Here is a 16,323-nt window from a genome sequence, read left to right as displayed (position 1 = left end):
ATAAGTCCTATATGATTTGAGAAATTTTTATTTTCTTTTGGGGGAATTATTTTCAATGCCTTTTATCCTTTTTTAGTGTGATTCTTTTTCTCAAATTTCTAATAATAATTTTTTAAGAGCTAATATTTTTGAATGTCAATTAGTGTGATAAGCTCTGCATATATGATTGCTACAGTGCTATTAGGTAGGAGCAATCATCACCTCTATAAGGAAAGATACTAAGACACCGATAATTCAAATAACTTATCAACAGTAATGGAGCTTGTTGATGAAAGAACCGGGATTTAGACCTAGGCTGTTCGGCTTCAGAGCTACTCTCCTAATCAATAACTCTCTTGCACTTTACATAAACAGTTAAAAATATTAATATTTGCCATATTTGTTAAACATTTTGTTTAGTTGATTACATGAAAATTACTTGCCTTTGAGTATTTTCAGCAGACTATTAGAGATACATTGGGTAAAGGGCCGTCTAATGAACATGCAAGGGGAGTTCTTAAGGATGCCCCAGAGATTCTTGGAAACCAGTTTTCAGCCTTTTTTTTTTTTTGGTAGTATTTAACATCTTCTTTGGATTCCAGCAAAGTGATCCTAAAATTTTTCTCAGTTTCAATGAAGAGCAGTTGAACTTGTGCCAGAATTCAATTTATGTAATAGATGAAAGATTGTAGATTATCCATGTTAAAAATGATGGGATAATCAGAACAGCTTGGACAAATCCAGGATCCTAAACAGGCTTCACTAGAAAACTCTACACAAAGCCAGAACTTGCAATGGCATTAATATCTCATTTATTTATCTGCACAGTAGTATGCTAAAAAAAACTACAACACATTGTTTGGGAGAGCAAAACTGTTTCTCAAGCATGGCCTTTGAAAAAGACTTGCTAACCAAATGCTTACATGGAACTGATGGTTCCTTAGCACTACGTCAGGTTATAATCCATGATCCTGATTTCTTGAAACTTCTTTAATATATTCTGGGTAGACTTACATTAAAAAGTAAATTAGTATCAGTAATAATAATATCCTGCCAGGCTGCCAGGCAGCTAGACTGGAACTATGCTTGCTACAAAGTTATTTCCAGACAGACTGTGAGCACACTGTGCCTAGAAGTTCACATCAATTTTATAATACTGTGTCTCAAATTGTATGATACTGTGTCTGTGCATTGCTTCTTTAGTACTTCCTGGGATTTAGCTTGGAATGGCTAGAGAAAATGAGCAAATTAGATTATTTTAGTAAACAAACTCAGAGATGAATTAGGCTTTTAAGAGAGGAAAAACACTTACAGGTGAAGGTATTTTAACAAATCGCTTTAGCATCCATGGAAAGCTTTCAAATCACAAACAAAGGGAGAATACTTATCCTATCCCATAGAGATTTAAGCTACATGTCTCATGGGCATATATTAGCCTGCCAATAATACTAGGGTGCGAGTTTGATTGTATACATGAGAAACATTAAAAAGAAATAATAAGAAATGTTTAGGCATAACATTTGTGGCTGAATCTTAGTCTGGCTTCTATATGATCATCAGACGTGACAGATGATTTCAGTGATATGAGTTGAGACAGAATCTCAAATGTGTTATGAAATTTTTAATAGAAAGAGAAAAAGATGAGTGGGAAGGAAAAAGCACAGACTGTGGAGTGAGGCAGATCTGAGTCTGAATTTTAGTTTCATCAATTACAATGTGGAAAAGTGAGTTGCTTGACCTTGAACATTTTACAGATTGAGAAATTGAGGTTTAGAGATTAATTTGCCCAAAGTCTCATAGCTAGCGAGTAAGAAGCTAGAGGTTTCAAACTGGGGACTTTCTGATGTCAGAGCTCAAGCTTGTCACCACCGTGCTCCTGGGGAAACGGTCAGGAGAAAGCCAAGTTTCCAGGAAACTGGAATGGCCGCAGTGAAGAATGACCCTCTTATATCCTGCTGATTAGATGACCAGACTTGGTCATCACAGACTTTGAGCATCACAGTGGAAGAGGGGCCAGAAGAGGAGGGCAGTTTCCTGTGTTGCTCCGGAGTTGCCTCATGTTGCCCACATTTTTCTGGGGCTGACATATATTTTTCCAGTAGGTGTGACCTGAGGGTGTTGGGGCTTTACTTTTGTGCTGGTGCAGGCAGTTTTCAGGCTCATATAAACACTCACTCGGCTGTTTATTTATTCATTCAACAAGCATTTCTTAGACACCTCCTCTTCTAATTCTTGGGCCAGTAAATAAGTATGGTCCCTGACCCAACAAATCTAGCTCAGGTTCAGAGATGCACAACCTCATTCCAGCAAAGCTTTCTGTAGATTATCGGGGGCAGCTCTTACTACCCTTGATCTTTCCCACTTCTCAGCTATTCCTGTACCAACAGAAAGCTCTCCCATGGAGGAATGGCAAAGAGATGGAAAAATGCGGCTGTGAATTGGGCTGAAGTTTTGGGGAAGGATGTGGAAGCCAGAGACTAACAAGAAGTTTTGATAGTGGGTGTGATGTCCCTCCCCCTCCCTGCTGTTCCATTTCCTTGGGCACTTAGGCTGGTCTCATGATCTAAGGGCCAACTGCTCATGTGAAAATCCATCCCAGCATCCTCAGCTCAAATAACTGCTGCTTGCCACACGCCTGCCCCAACGGAATTAACGGAAGCTGCTGATAGCCCTGCTGACCTCATTGGATGGAACCGTGTCCTCAGCAGACAGGAGCTCCTTCCTCTTCTGAGTGAGACTCCCTCCTATCTTGGAGCAGGAAGTCCTCTCAGGAGAAGTCCAAGCTTCAGACAGAGAAGGAGCAGGTGCCATTCATTTACTCCCCTCAGTGTTGACCCAAAAGGCAGAGGCTGAGACGCAAAGCATAATTTAAAGAGTTTACTTGAGCCAAAGTGAGGACAGCTGCCTGGAAGACTCAGACCCAAGTACTCTTGGCTGTGAGCTTCCTAGAGCCTTTGTTCCAAGCAGGTTTTTAAAAACAAAAGACTGGGACCGAGAGAGTGGGCTGGTACAAAGTTGTTGATCAGGAACTCTCTTTGGATTACAGAAACAAAATTGATGAGCAATTGGTTATTGTTAAGTTATAGGATGTGGTTTATGCTTCTGGTGAGACACTATAATAATCCTAAATTAAAATTAATTCATAGCTACTTGTGGCAATAGCAAGCAGTTTTAAGAGATGAATACATAGCTCAAAGCGGGGAGTAGGGTGTGATTGCTCTCATTTTAACGTCTCTCCAGGCCTCATAGTTTAAAAAGGATTCACCTTCCTCAGATGAAAGCTCTTTAGGTTTTGCATCAGGAACCTCCTTTTCTGCTTTCTTGGAGGGTCAGGATGGGTCCCATGAAGAGCTGCTGGTGGGGACAGACAGAAGCCAAGGAGAGGCCGGGCAAGGAAGCTGAAGTGCTTGGCAGGGGGCAACAGTCCCCTGCCTGCAACCAACGTTAAAAAACACTGTCACTTCAGGCCGAAAGTGGTAGAAACCAGTTTGTTAAATCACACGAATGTATATATTAGGCATGCCTGGCTAGTCCTTTGCCAAGAGATCTTGTAGCATAACTGCAGGCAAATAGAAAAGACATGAAAATCGTTAATCACTGCACAAGCTTAGGGATCAGTTCTTTTTGGAGGGTGGTGAGTGGTGGAGGTACTGGAAAATGTGTACAGAAAGAGTGAAATAAGTGGAAGAAAGGCCCTAGGACTCAGGGTTTGCTTACAGTGGGATCAGAGACACCTGGAAGGATGAAGACAAAAATCCAGATTATAATTGGCCCTGGGAGTGAGACTTCATGACAATTGTGTTACCTTGAGAATTTCTTTTTAGTTCCTGGCTTCAGATTTAAGGTTATGGTTGATGGATGAATATACTTTTGGAATCTACTTTTGGAAGACCTTCTCTGGGCTGAAGTTGATAGCTAGGTTAAAATATCAAGGACTTCGGTAAATCTCTAGCAGAGCTTCACTACAGCAGAGAGGGAAAAACACCAGATTTAACATTTCATTCTTGGTGCTGCTGAGCTGTGTGCTCTAGGACAAGACATTTAACTTTTTCAGCTGCGTCCTAGAAGGATTCACACCTATCTCCCAAGACTTTGGCAATGATTAGGAGGGAGAATAACTAGGAAAAAGATAAGTGAACTGTGAAGAGCTGTGACCTTACAATGGTGACGGTGACGGTGATGATCTTTATACTCTTGGGAGGGTTGGTGCAGATTCTTGCCTGCAGCAATCATAAGCAGAGGCTAATGCTTCCATCTTTAAGATTCTCATAGTAAGGTTAAAAGATACTGATATTACCTAATGTTTAACATAACTGGACCCACTACCTACTGCTTCATGCACAGAAGTTACAGGGCTGAGGGACCCTCCATTAGCCACACTGAGGATCTGGGTTATAAATGAGTGGAATGTGTAAGGGGAGAAGAGATCTTTAGCGATCTTTGAGAGCAATATTAGCAGTGAAATGAATGCAAACCACATCTTGCCTCTTTGAAGTAATAAAGGAAGGGAAAAAAGTTATGCAAGCAAAGAAGTGCTTTTGTTTCCCCAGCCATGAATCCTGGTTAAAAATTGCACACAAACCACAAGGACAGTCAATACCATCATCTCAACTCCTAATGTGCTGTGTTTCAGGAAAAAAAAAAAAAAAAAACTAAACTAAAATTAAAGCAGTATCACACTGTCTTTGACTTGCTAGCTTTATATTCTTTTGTGAAAATCTCAAGACGTTACCCATCTTCAGAGGTAGCTCATTCCTCCCAGGCATGGAGCCGGGGAGGGTAAATGAAATGTCTCATACAACTCAGTCATTCATTTGCTCAGTGTTTATTAAGACCTAACATGTGCCAGGCTCTCTCCTAGGTGGGGCTAACTAAAGTAAGCCCAAGAGGTACTGTCCTTAAGGGGAGGAAAGACACGTACTCCAGTATCTGTATTTGGGTAAAGAAAGTGATTTGTCAAGAGAGAACAGGATTGGGATTGTTTAAAGTATGTTCACAGCCCACAGACCAAATGGACTCCCTATGACTCACTGAGGTACTCATATTTAAAACAGAAACCCAGTGGCTACAGCCGGGTGTGGGAGCGATCACATACTCTGTGTTCTCAGAAAGATATAAGAGCATCACAGGACCCCTCTTTTCACAATCAAGCCAAACCAGCGCCTGCTGTTGCTCCCAGGACAAACTGCTGCTGGGCCCCTCCCACCACCAGCCAGCCACAGTCTGACAGAGACTCCCAGTTTAGGGCTTGGAAACCAATCAATCAGAGCTCATCTGCTCGGTTAATCAGGGCTCAGCTGCATCAGAGGAAAGCAAATGCAAATGAATCTGGGTTCATATGCAAATGAACCTGATGGGGAACCTGGGCAGCAAATTTTGCTATAAAGCCCGACTCCTCTCTGTTCTCTGAACGCACATTCATTTTACACTGAACTCTGGTCTCTCAGTGTTAGTCCAAACTGCACCATGTCATAAGCTCTCCCTGCTATTTTGCAGACCTTAGTCAAAGTGAAACAGGGGTTCGGGTGTGAGAAACGTCCTGCCTAACCACCTGACCACAAGGCAGACAAAGGCCTAACCAAAGACACATCTCTATCATATCATGCTGGACAAAGATCCGAGGAACACCACAACGAAATCCCACTGGAACAAGGGCCAGAACCATCTCATCACGGGAACATCTTATCAATATCCTGCCAGGCAGCAAGCCATACTGCCCGGACCCCTTTGGCCCATAAATTGCCCCAGCCTGTAAGCAGCAGTGGGCTCTGGCATTATGCTGGTTCCTGACTTCTGTAGGTTTTATGCTGGACATAAAGCCTGCATTTGCTATTAAGCCACCCTCTTACGTATGTCTTTCTTTAACCCTCGCCTTCCCTTCAAAACCTAACACCCAGTTTTGTCCACTGGAATAAAGTCTCTTTCCTCCAAATACCTTTTCAGAAAACATTTGTTCATGGGGTTTAGAAGGAGGAGTAGTTATTTCTAGGAAATCTAATCAGCTGGAGGTAGACTGAGTTGAGTGCTTGGAAAGGAAACAGTGGGCAATACTACTAGAAATAGATTTTGACCAGATCACAGGTGGCCTTGAATGATGAGATAGGAATCTGTGACTTTAATTTCAAGGAATAGGGGTCACCGAAGCTTTTTGAGCAGGGGAGTATTATGATCATCTGGCTGTAAATAAACCCTGAAATGTAGAATCTCATTTTTGAGAATGAACTTAGAAGATAATTACATGGGTAGGTTTGAGGATGACTTGAGGACATTTAAAAAGGGCCTAGCAGTTTTGGCTTGCCCTCCTGCTAATAGCATTTGCTGCTTTTCATTTACACTTTATCGTGCACGGAGAACTCTGCATACATACAAAGCAGAGTCTAATTTTTCCTAATTCATCTCTGTAGCCAAAGTAGACTCGGACACTTAAGAATATAGACAACACTCCTACCTAAAATGCCCAGAGAGAAATTTTACATGGCTAAAAGTGGGAGCTAGCTACCCCAGCCCAGAGGTGTTTCTTTCTAAGAGGAAGGGCACTGACACAGAAAACTGTACTATGCTGCAGTGACCAGAAGAATGGACCCTCCCTGCACCTGCTGTGGAGGAGGAGGGTGGGACGTGGCAGTGCACCAGACTCTGCTCATCTCAGTTCAAGTCTAGGCATTGCCACTAATCTGTGCGACCTTGAATGAGTCACTTTTCCTCTCTGGGCCTGAGTCTCCACATCTGTTAATCGAGAGGTGAGATTGGATGGTTTTAAGAACAGGTTCTTGTGCTGACGTCCTGTGGGCTTGTGGGACTGAGTAAGACTGCTATGAGCTCTGGCGTGGCTGGTCTGATGATCCCCAAGTTTCTCTCCTTTCTCCTCGGTGCTGAGGGAAGCAACACAATGAGATACGCTTTTGTTCCAAACGCTGGCCGCATCTCACGGTCTGAGTTGAGTCCTGGCCCTGCTGTAGGTTAGCAGTGTGAACTTGGGCAAGTCACTTAACCTCTCTGAGCCTCTGTTTTCTTTTCTGAAAAATAATGAGTCAATGTCGTCTAACCCAAGAAAAATGGAGGGATAGAAACAAAAAATTAGAGGCTGGATGGTGTGGCTCACGTCTGTAATTCTAAGTTTGGAGGCTGAGGTGGGCAGATTGCTTGAGCCCAAGCAATTTGAGACCAGCCTGGGAAACATAGCAAAACCTCATCTCTACAAAAAATACAAAACTTAGCTGGGTGTGGTGGTTGGGCACCTGTAGTACTAGCTACTCAAAAGGCAGAGGTGGAAGGATCACCTGAGCCTGGGAAGTCCAGGCTGTGGTGAGCTGTGATTGTGCCACTACACTGCAGTCTGGGTGACAGAATAATATCCTGTCTCAAATAAATAAATAAATAAATAAATACATAAATAAATATTAAAACAAGAAATGTAAGCTTGTTTTAAATAAAAAAGTAGAGGGAACTGGCTTCCAGTAAGTATGAAATTATGACTATCAGGCTAATTAGGTTATTTTGCAAAAAAAAAGAAAAGTTAGAAAAACATATTTTTGACAAATACTCTCAAAGCTAGTGAAATTATCCTGTTTTGGACAACAGCTTGGCCTTCGACAGTTTTATCAATCTGTACAACAAAACCCCAGCACTTATTAATCCCTGAAGTATGGAAACAAATGAGGAAGGGACTGTGTCTCCTGCATTAAACACATCGATGTCTCTGTCCCACAAGAGAAGCTCTTCACGGGGCTCCTTCCATGTTTGCTGTACAGAACCTCTCAAACGAACAACCTCATTCATGTGAAAATTCCCCAGAGCGGCCACTGCAGTTTCAAATGGTGTCTCAAGAAATTGTGTCAGAGGCATAAGATGAGTTCACACGACAGTGAGGAAATCTGAAAGCAGCAGGCGTTTGGCCTGGGGAAGAGCCACGTCCGATGAAGAAGGTCGCACGGGCACCCGAGCAGTCCGAGAAGAGACTTCGTGCCTCCAGAGCTTGGTCAGAGGCCACAGGCTGATTGTCCCCAATCCTCCTGATTCCAGGCAGAGGGAACTTTAAAGTGAGCAGTTCTCAGGAACCACACAGAGACAAAGTTGAGGGGAAAATCCACCCTTAGGTATGAAAACAGTGACCTGGGGCAAAGCTCATTCCAATGAATGCTAGTCTGAGGGGAACTCCTGAGCACTGTGACCTCCAAGACCAGCTTGAGGACAGACTTCCCGGGCCCCTATCAACTACTGAATTTTCCACTTAGAGACAACGCTTAGAACATTCGACCACCAGATAGACATAGGAGCATTTCTCAGAAGGCTAGACAGCAGTTTCACCGTGGAGCGGGGCAAATCTGATCAGATCACCAGGAAAAGTCGCACAGCACCTCATTCCCAGAACAGAGCACACCTGAAGCGGAGGGGCCTCAAGGAAATATCAGCCTCCATGGGGCCTCAAGGAAATATCAGCCTCCATTCAGCCCGAGCTGCCTTCCAGCTGTGGGCCACCCGGCACCTCAGACAGAGGGAGACACCCTGTATGTCTCAGCTGTGTCCACCCTAACTGAGGCGGGGGTTCTTGTCCAAGGGGGAGGGCTTCAGCTGACTCAGGGAACCTCTATTTCTGCCAATCCTCCTAAGCTAAAAAACCACCAAGAACTCACCTGTAGCTGAACCAAAATGGGTTTATTGACTTGTTGCACAAAGGAAGAATGTCCAGCAGTAAAGAGGGCCTTCAAAAGAACTTGCTATAGATGCGGGCTCGTGGCTGGTGAGTCTCAGGAGGGCTTAGGAAGCAAGGCCTTTCTCTGGGTTGGATATCGTGCATAAAGGGACCACATGGCACAGGATTCCATTCTATGCAAAAGTGCAGAACAGGCAAATCCAGAGAGACAGAAGGTAGGTTTGTGGTTGCTGGGGGCTAGGGGAAAGAAGTGTGGAGACTGACCATGCGTATGAGGTTTCTTTGTGGAGGTGATGAAAATGTTTAGAATTAGATAGTAGTGATGGACGCACAATTTTGTGAATATATATGAAAACCACTTTAAAAGGGTGATTTTTATGTTAGGTGAATGATATCTCAATTTTTAAAAAGTGAAAATAAAAAGAGGGGCCTCAAGATTTGGTGAGCTGATAGACTGATAGCAAGAGAGGATACTAAGGAAAGACACTAAGGAACACATATTCACAAAGCAGAACCGCCCAGAGCAGCAGGCTGTCAGCCTTTATGCCAGAGCCTCTGTTGGCTTCTGTCAGTGCAACCCCGCAGACACACACAGCATCGCCATGGGCTGGCCGAGGTGCCGAGGAGCACACAGAGGACTGAGACATGGTCCCTGCACTCTGGGGGAAATGACATCTCAACACAATAATGGTGTTCATCATCAGGACCCCAAGTCATGATGAAAAGGTTAAATTATTCTCAAAATGCTCAATTGTAAGAAAGCAGAGGAGTGGATCGTAAGGAATAAATGTATGAAAAAAATTTCAAAATTGCCAACCTTTTCAAGAAATATTGAAACCTCTGGTGCAGGAAGGTAATCTGTGTGGAGTGGCAGCCAGGGAATGGGATGCTGTGTGTGTGTGGAGAGGCAAACATCCCCATAGTCTTCAGGATCCCCCGAGAGGGGCCGAGTCAGAGGCCGTCAAAGCCTCCAGTCCCCTGGGCATCCAGGGCCTCATGGCAACTGTACCAGTTGTTCTCACTTTTGTTATTCTTCCATAGAACTCAACGTGCCTCTCACGCAGGGACTCAGGATGGTGCTGAGTCCAGGTGGAGGGAAGGGGTCGGATGGGGGGCTGGGTGGGGGACATGGTGGGGGCTCTGTTGGAACCTGCCACCCTTCTGGCTCTCTACCGTGTTTTTCTTAGTTAGTGGGAGGTCTGTGAGCTCCATACCTCCAGGGCCTAGCTGTGAAGCTGTTGCTGGTGTGGATCTGTCCAATGGAGTTTGCTGGGTGGGGGAAGGTGTGAGGGAACCTCCATCTTGGAACGGCATCTCCAGAATGCAGGAGTGAGGCTGGCACACAGCACGGCCTCTGTGGACAGGGGGTCCAGGGAGGTTGGGGAGGGGCCTCAGGGATGGAGGGACAGAACTGGGGCCTCCCATTCTATCCACATCAGCCTGGTGAGTTCAGATCATCTCTTTAGCACCTTATCACCACTTCCACACTCAGGTGATTTCAAGGAACCTTAGGTCCCCAATTGCCACAAGCTTTGGGGCACAGCTCCTGCCTTGTAAAATAAATATTTTGGAGATTTTAAAGATGTAAATTCAAACTGGCTTTTGGAAAAGACAGGTTTTAAGGGATGGTTCCCATTCTAATGTCGGGGCTTTCCATCAGGCCACCCTGGGCAGAACCCGGGGGCGAAAAGAGAGAAATGAACAAAGCCTCCAAAAAATATGGGACTATGTGAAAAGACCAAATCTACAATTGACTGGTGTACCTGAAAGTGACAAGGAGAGTGGAACCAAGCTAGAAAACACTCTTCAGGATATTATCCAGGAGAATTTCCCCAACCTAGCAAGGCAGGCCAACATTCAAATTAAGGAAATACAGAGACCACCACAAAGATACTCCTCGAGAAGAGCAACCCCAAGACACATAATTGTCAGACTCACCAGGGTTCAAATAAAGGAAAAAATGGTAAGGGCAGCCAGAGAGAAAGGTTGGGTTACCCACAAAGGGGAGCCCATCAGACTAACAGCAGATCTCTCAGCAGAAACTCTACAGGCCAGAAGAGAGTAGGGGCCAATATTCAACATTCTTAAAGAAAAGAATTTTCAATCCAAAATTTCATATCCAGCCAAACTAAGCTTCATAAGTGAAGGAGAAATAAAATCCTTTATAGACAAGCAAATGCTGAGAGATTTTGTCACCATGAGGCCTGCCTTACAAGAGCTCCTGAAGGAAGCACTAAACATGGAAAGGGACAACCTGTATCAACCACTTCAAAAACATGCCAAATTGTAAAGACCATCGATGCTATGAAGAAACAGCATCAATTAATGGGCAAAATAACCAGCTAACATTGTAATGACGGGATCAAATTCACACACAAGTATATTAATGTTAAACGTAAATGGGCTAAATGCCCCTAATAAAAGACACAGACTGGCAAATTGGATAAGGAGTCAAGACCCATTAGTGTGCTATATTCAGGAGACCCATCTCAAGTGCAGGACACACATAGGCTCAAAATAAATGGATGGAGGAAGATCTGCCAAGCAAATGGAGAGAAAAAAAAAGCAGGGGTTGCAATCCTAGTCTTTGATACAGCAGACGTTAAACCAGTGAAGATCTAAAGAGACAAAGAAGGCCATTACATAATGGTAAAGGGATCAATTCAACAAGAAGAGCTAATTGTCCTAAACATATATGCACCCAATACAGGAGCACTCGGATTCATGAAGCAAGTCCTTAGAGACCTAGAAAGAGACCTAGACTCCCACACAGTAATAATGGGAGACTTCAACACCCCACTGTCCATATTAGACAGATCAATGAGACAGAAGGTTAACAAGGATATCCAGGACTTGAACTCAACTCTGCACCAAGTGGATCTAATAGACATCTACAGAACTCTCCACCCCAAATCAACAGAATATATATTCTTCTCAGCACCACATCACATTTATTATAAAATTGACCACATAATTGGAAGTAAAGCACTCCTCAGCAAATGTAAAAGAACAGAAATCACAACAAACTGTCTTTCATACCACAGTGCAATCAAATTAGAAATCAGGATTAAGAAACTCACTCAAAACCATACAACTACATGGAAACTGAACAAGCTGCTCCTGAATGACTACTGGGTAAATAATGAAATGAAGGCAGAAATAAAGATGTTCTTTGAAATCAATGAGAACAAAGACACAACGTACCAGAATCTCTGGGACACATTTAAAGCAGTTTGTAGAGGGAAATGTATAGCACTAAATGCTCACAAGAGAAAGCAGGAAAGATCTAAAATCAACACCCTAACATCATAATTAAAAGAACTAGAGAAGCAAGAGCAAACAAATTCAAAAGCTAGCAGAAGGTAAGAAATAAGATCAGAGCAGAATTGAAGGAGATAAAGACACTTCAAAAATCAATGACAAAAAAACCCTTCAAAAAATCAATGAATCCAGGAGCTGGTTTTTTGAAAAGATCAACAAAATTAGTCGACCACTAGCAAGACTAATAAAGAAGAGAGAAGAATCAGATACACACAATAAAGTGATAAAGAGGATATCACCACCAATCCCACAGAAATATAAACTACCATCAGAGAATACTATAAACACCTCTACACAAATAAACTAGAAAATCTAGACCAATAAAAGGCTCTGAAATTGAGGCAGTAATTAATAGCCTACCAACCAAAAAATATCCAGGACCAGATGGATTCACAGCCACATTCTACCAGAGGTACAAAGAGGAGCTGGTACCATTCCTTCTGAAACTATTCCAATCAACAGAAAAAGAGGGAATCCTCCCTAACTCATTTTATGAGGCCAGCATCATCCTGATACCAAAGCCTGGCAGAGGCACAACACAAAAAGAGAATTTTAAACCAATATCCCTGATGAACATTGATGGAAAAATCCTCAATAAAATACTGGCAAATCAAATCCAGCAGCACATCAAAAAGCTTATTCACCAACATCAAGTCAGCTTCATCCCTGGGATGCAAGGCTGGTTCAACATATGCAAATCAATAAACATAATCCATCACATAAACAGAACCAATGACAAAAACCACATGATTATCTCAATAGATGCAGAAAAGGCCTTTGACAAAATTCAACAGCCCTTCATGCTAAAAACTCTCAATAAACTAGGTATTTATGGAACGTATCTCAAAATAATAAGAGCTATTTATGACAAACCCACAGCCAATATCATACTGAATGGGCAAAAACTGGAAGCATTCCCTTTGAAAACTGGCAGAAGACACAGATGCCCTCTCTCACCACTCCATTTAACATAGTGTTGGAAGTTCTGGCCAGGGCAATCAGGCAAGAGAAATAAAGGGTATTCAATTAGGAAAAGAGGGAGTAAAATGGTCCCTGTTAGCAGATGACATGACTGCATATTTAGAAAACCCCATTGCCTCAGGCCAAAATCTCCTTAAGCTGATAAGCAACTTCAGCAAAGTCTCAGGATACAAAATCAATGTGCAAAAATCACAAGCATTCCTATACACCGATAACAAACAGAGAGCCAAGTCAGGAGTGAACTCCCATTCACAACTGCTACTAAAAGAATAAAATACCTAGGAATCCGACCTACAAGGGATGTGAAAGACCTCTTCAAGGAGAACTACAAACCACTGTTCAACGAAATAAAAGAGGACACAAACAAATGGAAGAACATTCCATCCTCATGGATAGGAAAAATCAATATTTGTGAAAATGGCCATACTGCCCAAGGTAATTTATAGATTCAGTGCCATCCCCATCAAGCTACAAAAGACTTTCTTCACAGAATTGGAGAAAACTAAAGTTCATATGGAACCAAAAAAGAGCCCGCATTGCCAAGACAATCCTAATCAAAAAGAACAAAGCTGGAGGCATCATGCTACCTGACTTCAAACTATACTACAAGACTACAGTAACCAAAACAGCATAGTACTGGTACCAAAACAGATTTATAGACCAATGGAATAGAACGGAGATCTCAGAAATAAAACCCACATCTACAACCATCTGATCTTTGACAAACCTGACAAAAACAAGAAATGGGGAAAGGATTCCCTGTTTAATAAATAGTGCTGAGAAGACTGGCTAGCCATACATAGAAAGCTGAAACTGGATCACTTCCTTACATCTTAAACAAAAGTTAATTCAAAATGGATTAAAGACTTAAATGTTAGACCTAAAACCATAAAAACCCTAGAAGAAAACCTAGACAATACCATTCAGGACACAGGCATGGGCAAGGACTTCATGACTACAACACCAAAAGCAATGGCAACAAAAGCCAAAATAGACAAATGGGATCTAACTAAACCAAAGAGCTTCTGCACAGCAAAAGAAACTACCATCTGTGAGAAAATTTTTGCAATCTACCCATCTGACAAAGGGCTAATATCCAGAATCTACAAAGAACTTAAACAAATTTACAAGAATAAAGCAAACAACCCCATCAAAAAGTGGGCAAAGGATATGAACAGACACTTCTCAAAAGAAGACATTTATGCAGCCAACAGATGGATGAAAAAATGCTCATGATCACTGGTCATCAGAGAAATGCAAATTAAAACCACAATGAGATACCATGTCATGCCAGTTAGAATGCTGATCATTAAAAAGTCAGGAAACGGCCAGGTGCGGTATCTCACGCCTGTAATCCCAGCACTTTGGGAGGCCGAGGCAGGTGGATCATGAGTTCAGGAGATTGAGACCATCCTGGCTAACACAGTGAAACCCCGTCTCTACTAAAAATACAAAGAAATTAGCTGGGCTTGGTGGCGGGCCCCTGTAGTCCCAGCTACTCGGGAGGCTGTGGCAGGAGAATGACATGAACCCGGGAGGTGGAGCTTGCAGTGAGGCAAGATCGCGCCACTGCACTCCAGCCTGGGTGACAGAGCGAGACTCCGTCTCAGAAAAAAAAAAAAAAAAAGTCAGGAAACAACAGATGCTGGAGAGGATGTGGAGAAATAGGAACGCCTTTACACTGTTGGTGGGAGTGTAAATTAGTTCAACCATTGTGGAAGACAGTGTGGCAATTCCTCAAGGATCTGACCCGGCCATCCCATTACTGGGTATATGCCCAAAGGATTACAAATCATACTACTATAAAGACACATGCACACGTATGTTTATTGTGACACTATTCACAATAGCAAAGAACCAACCCAAATGTCCATCAATGATAGACTGGATTAAGAAAATGTGGCACATATACACCATGGAATACTATGTAGCCATAAAAAAGGATGAGTTCATGTCCCTTGCAGGGACATTGATGAAGCTGGAAACCATCATCCTCAGCAAACTATCACAAGGACAGAAAACCAAACACCGCATGTTCTCACTTATAAATGGGAATTGAACAATGAGAACACTTGGACACAAGGCAGGGAACATCACACACTGGGGCCTGTCAGGGAGTGGGGGGCTGGGGAAGGGATAGCATTAGGAGAAATGCCTAATGTAAATGATGAATTGATGGGTGCAGCAAACCAACATGGCACATGTATACCTATGTAACAAAACTGCATGTTGTGCACATGTACCCTTGAACTTGAAGTACAATAAAAAGAAAAAGAAATAAAGTTATCAGAAACTTGAAAAAAAATTCAAGAGGGGGAAAATTGTTAAGTACAATGAGTTCTGAGTTCCTCTTCAAAGAACCAACATGTCAGTATGTTCAGCTTCCCTGTTGTTTGTTCTCCACTTTAAAGTTTAACTTTGTTCTTTACGTCTCTTTGCCCCTAGTTTTGGTAAACAACCCCCTCCCAGCCTCTATCACCTGCTCTGTCCTTAGTCATCCTTAGTCACCTGCTGTGTTCTTAGTCATCCTTAGTCACCTGCTGTGTTCTTAGTCATCCTTAGTCACCTGCTCTGTAACCATCCTTCCCACCAAAACTACTCACCCCGCCTCTCTGGCTCATACCCCTGCTCTCTTTAAAATAGCCAGTTGGAATTAGCTTAGACTGTGCAGTCCAACCCCAGCCAATAGGGGAAAGACACAGCAGTAGGGACTAGCTGCATTAGGAATAAGAACCCCTTCCCCTCCCTTGTCCAGTGTGCTCTTGCCATTGCTCCATCCGTGAGATGCACCCTTCTGTAGAAGTAAATTGCCTTGCTGAGAAAACTTTTGCCTGAGTGCTATTTTCACTTGGCAGCACCGAGCATTTACTTCCAACACTCAAGAGGTACCAGACCCTCCTGGAGACACTTCAAGGCTGCCACTGTCAGCTGGGATCAACTTTCCACCCACAAAACTGCAGGGACAGCTGGCATTGCAGGAGGGGCAGCAAGGCTCTGGCCTGGCCCTCACATCCCTAACACATGGTCTCTGGGAAGCCCACTACAGGGCAATGCCTCCCAGATGCCCTCAGGGTATTCTTCCATTTCTAGTAGCTACACCAGGCAAGTCACCTAAATTAGTGAAGGCCAGGTGTGTCAAGAGACTCAGAAAGAGAAGGAGGAAGGTTGTGAGAGAGTCCAGGTTGTTCTAAGTGACCCCATTTTAAAGTTCTTTCAGCGAAGTGGGAAATGTAGATTTGTAAGCAGATTTTTCCCATTTTAACATGTCAACCTAAAAAGGAAAAGCATTCCAAGGCCACCGTCACTCCACCAGCTTGTTGGTTTGCAGTCACAGTCTAAGCCCCCAGCTGTCTCAGGAAAGCTGCATGAATGAACCCACAAGGCTTCCC

The 16,323-nt window shown here is 43.1% G+C and overlaps 1 long non-coding RNA gene across 1 annotated transcript in view, besides 5 other annotated features; it reads right to left on the bottom strand.

Annotated features, from left to right (window-relative positions):
* LINC02367 (long intergenic non-protein coding RNA 2367) overlaps positions 1-2,555 on the bottom strand; it is a 30,154-nt gene extending 27,599 nt beyond the window's left edge. Inside the window, exon 1 of the long non-coding RNA NR_120479.1 lies at positions 423-2,555. This is a non-coding gene — a long non-coding RNA (long intergenic non-protein coding RNA 2367). The remainder of the gene's footprint in view (positions 1-422) is intronic.
* Positions 5,014-5,530: an enhancer, noted in NCBI's record as "NANOG-H3K27ac hESC enhancer chr12:9517085-9517601 (GRCh37/hg19 assembly coordinates)". NCBI's record gives its function as "activates a minimal SCP1, AML or CMV promoter by ChIP-STARR-seq in primed H9 embryonic stem cells {active_cell/tissue: H9 hESC(primed)}" and the evidence as "EXISTENCE:reporter gene assay evidence [ECO:0000049][PMID:30033119]".
* Positions 5,303-5,412: a silencer, noted in NCBI's record as "silent region_4226". NCBI's record gives its function as "represses an Ori minimal core promoter by ATAC-STARR-seq in GM12878 lymphoblastoid cells {active_cell/tissue: GM12878}" and the evidence as "EXISTENCE:reporter gene assay evidence [ECO:0000049][PMID:35858748]".
* Positions 5,543-5,602: a silencer, noted in NCBI's record as "silent region_4225". NCBI's record gives its function as "represses an Ori minimal core promoter by ATAC-STARR-seq in GM12878 lymphoblastoid cells {active_cell/tissue: GM12878}" and the evidence as "EXISTENCE:reporter gene assay evidence [ECO:0000049][PMID:35858748]".
* Positions 6,720-6,829: an enhancer, noted in NCBI's record as "active region_5941". NCBI's record gives its function as "activates an Ori minimal core promoter by ATAC-STARR-seq in GM12878 lymphoblastoid cells {active_cell/tissue: GM12878}" and the evidence as "EXISTENCE:reporter gene assay evidence [ECO:0000049][PMID:35858748]".
* Positions 7,682-7,931: an enhancer, noted in NCBI's record as "active region_5940". NCBI's record gives its function as "activates an Ori minimal core promoter by ATAC-STARR-seq in GM12878 lymphoblastoid cells {active_cell/tissue: GM12878}" and the evidence as "EXISTENCE:reporter gene assay evidence [ECO:0000049][PMID:35858748]".

This window comes from Homo sapiens, chromosome 12 (genome assembly GCF_000001405.40).
Source record: "Homo sapiens chromosome 12, GRCh38.p14 Primary Assembly".
Taxonomy (NCBI): domain Eukaryota; kingdom Metazoa; phylum Chordata; class Mammalia; order Primates; family Hominidae; genus Homo; species Homo sapiens.
Note: the sequence above shows the minus strand (reverse complement) of the source record. Positions and strands in the feature narration are given on the sequence as shown.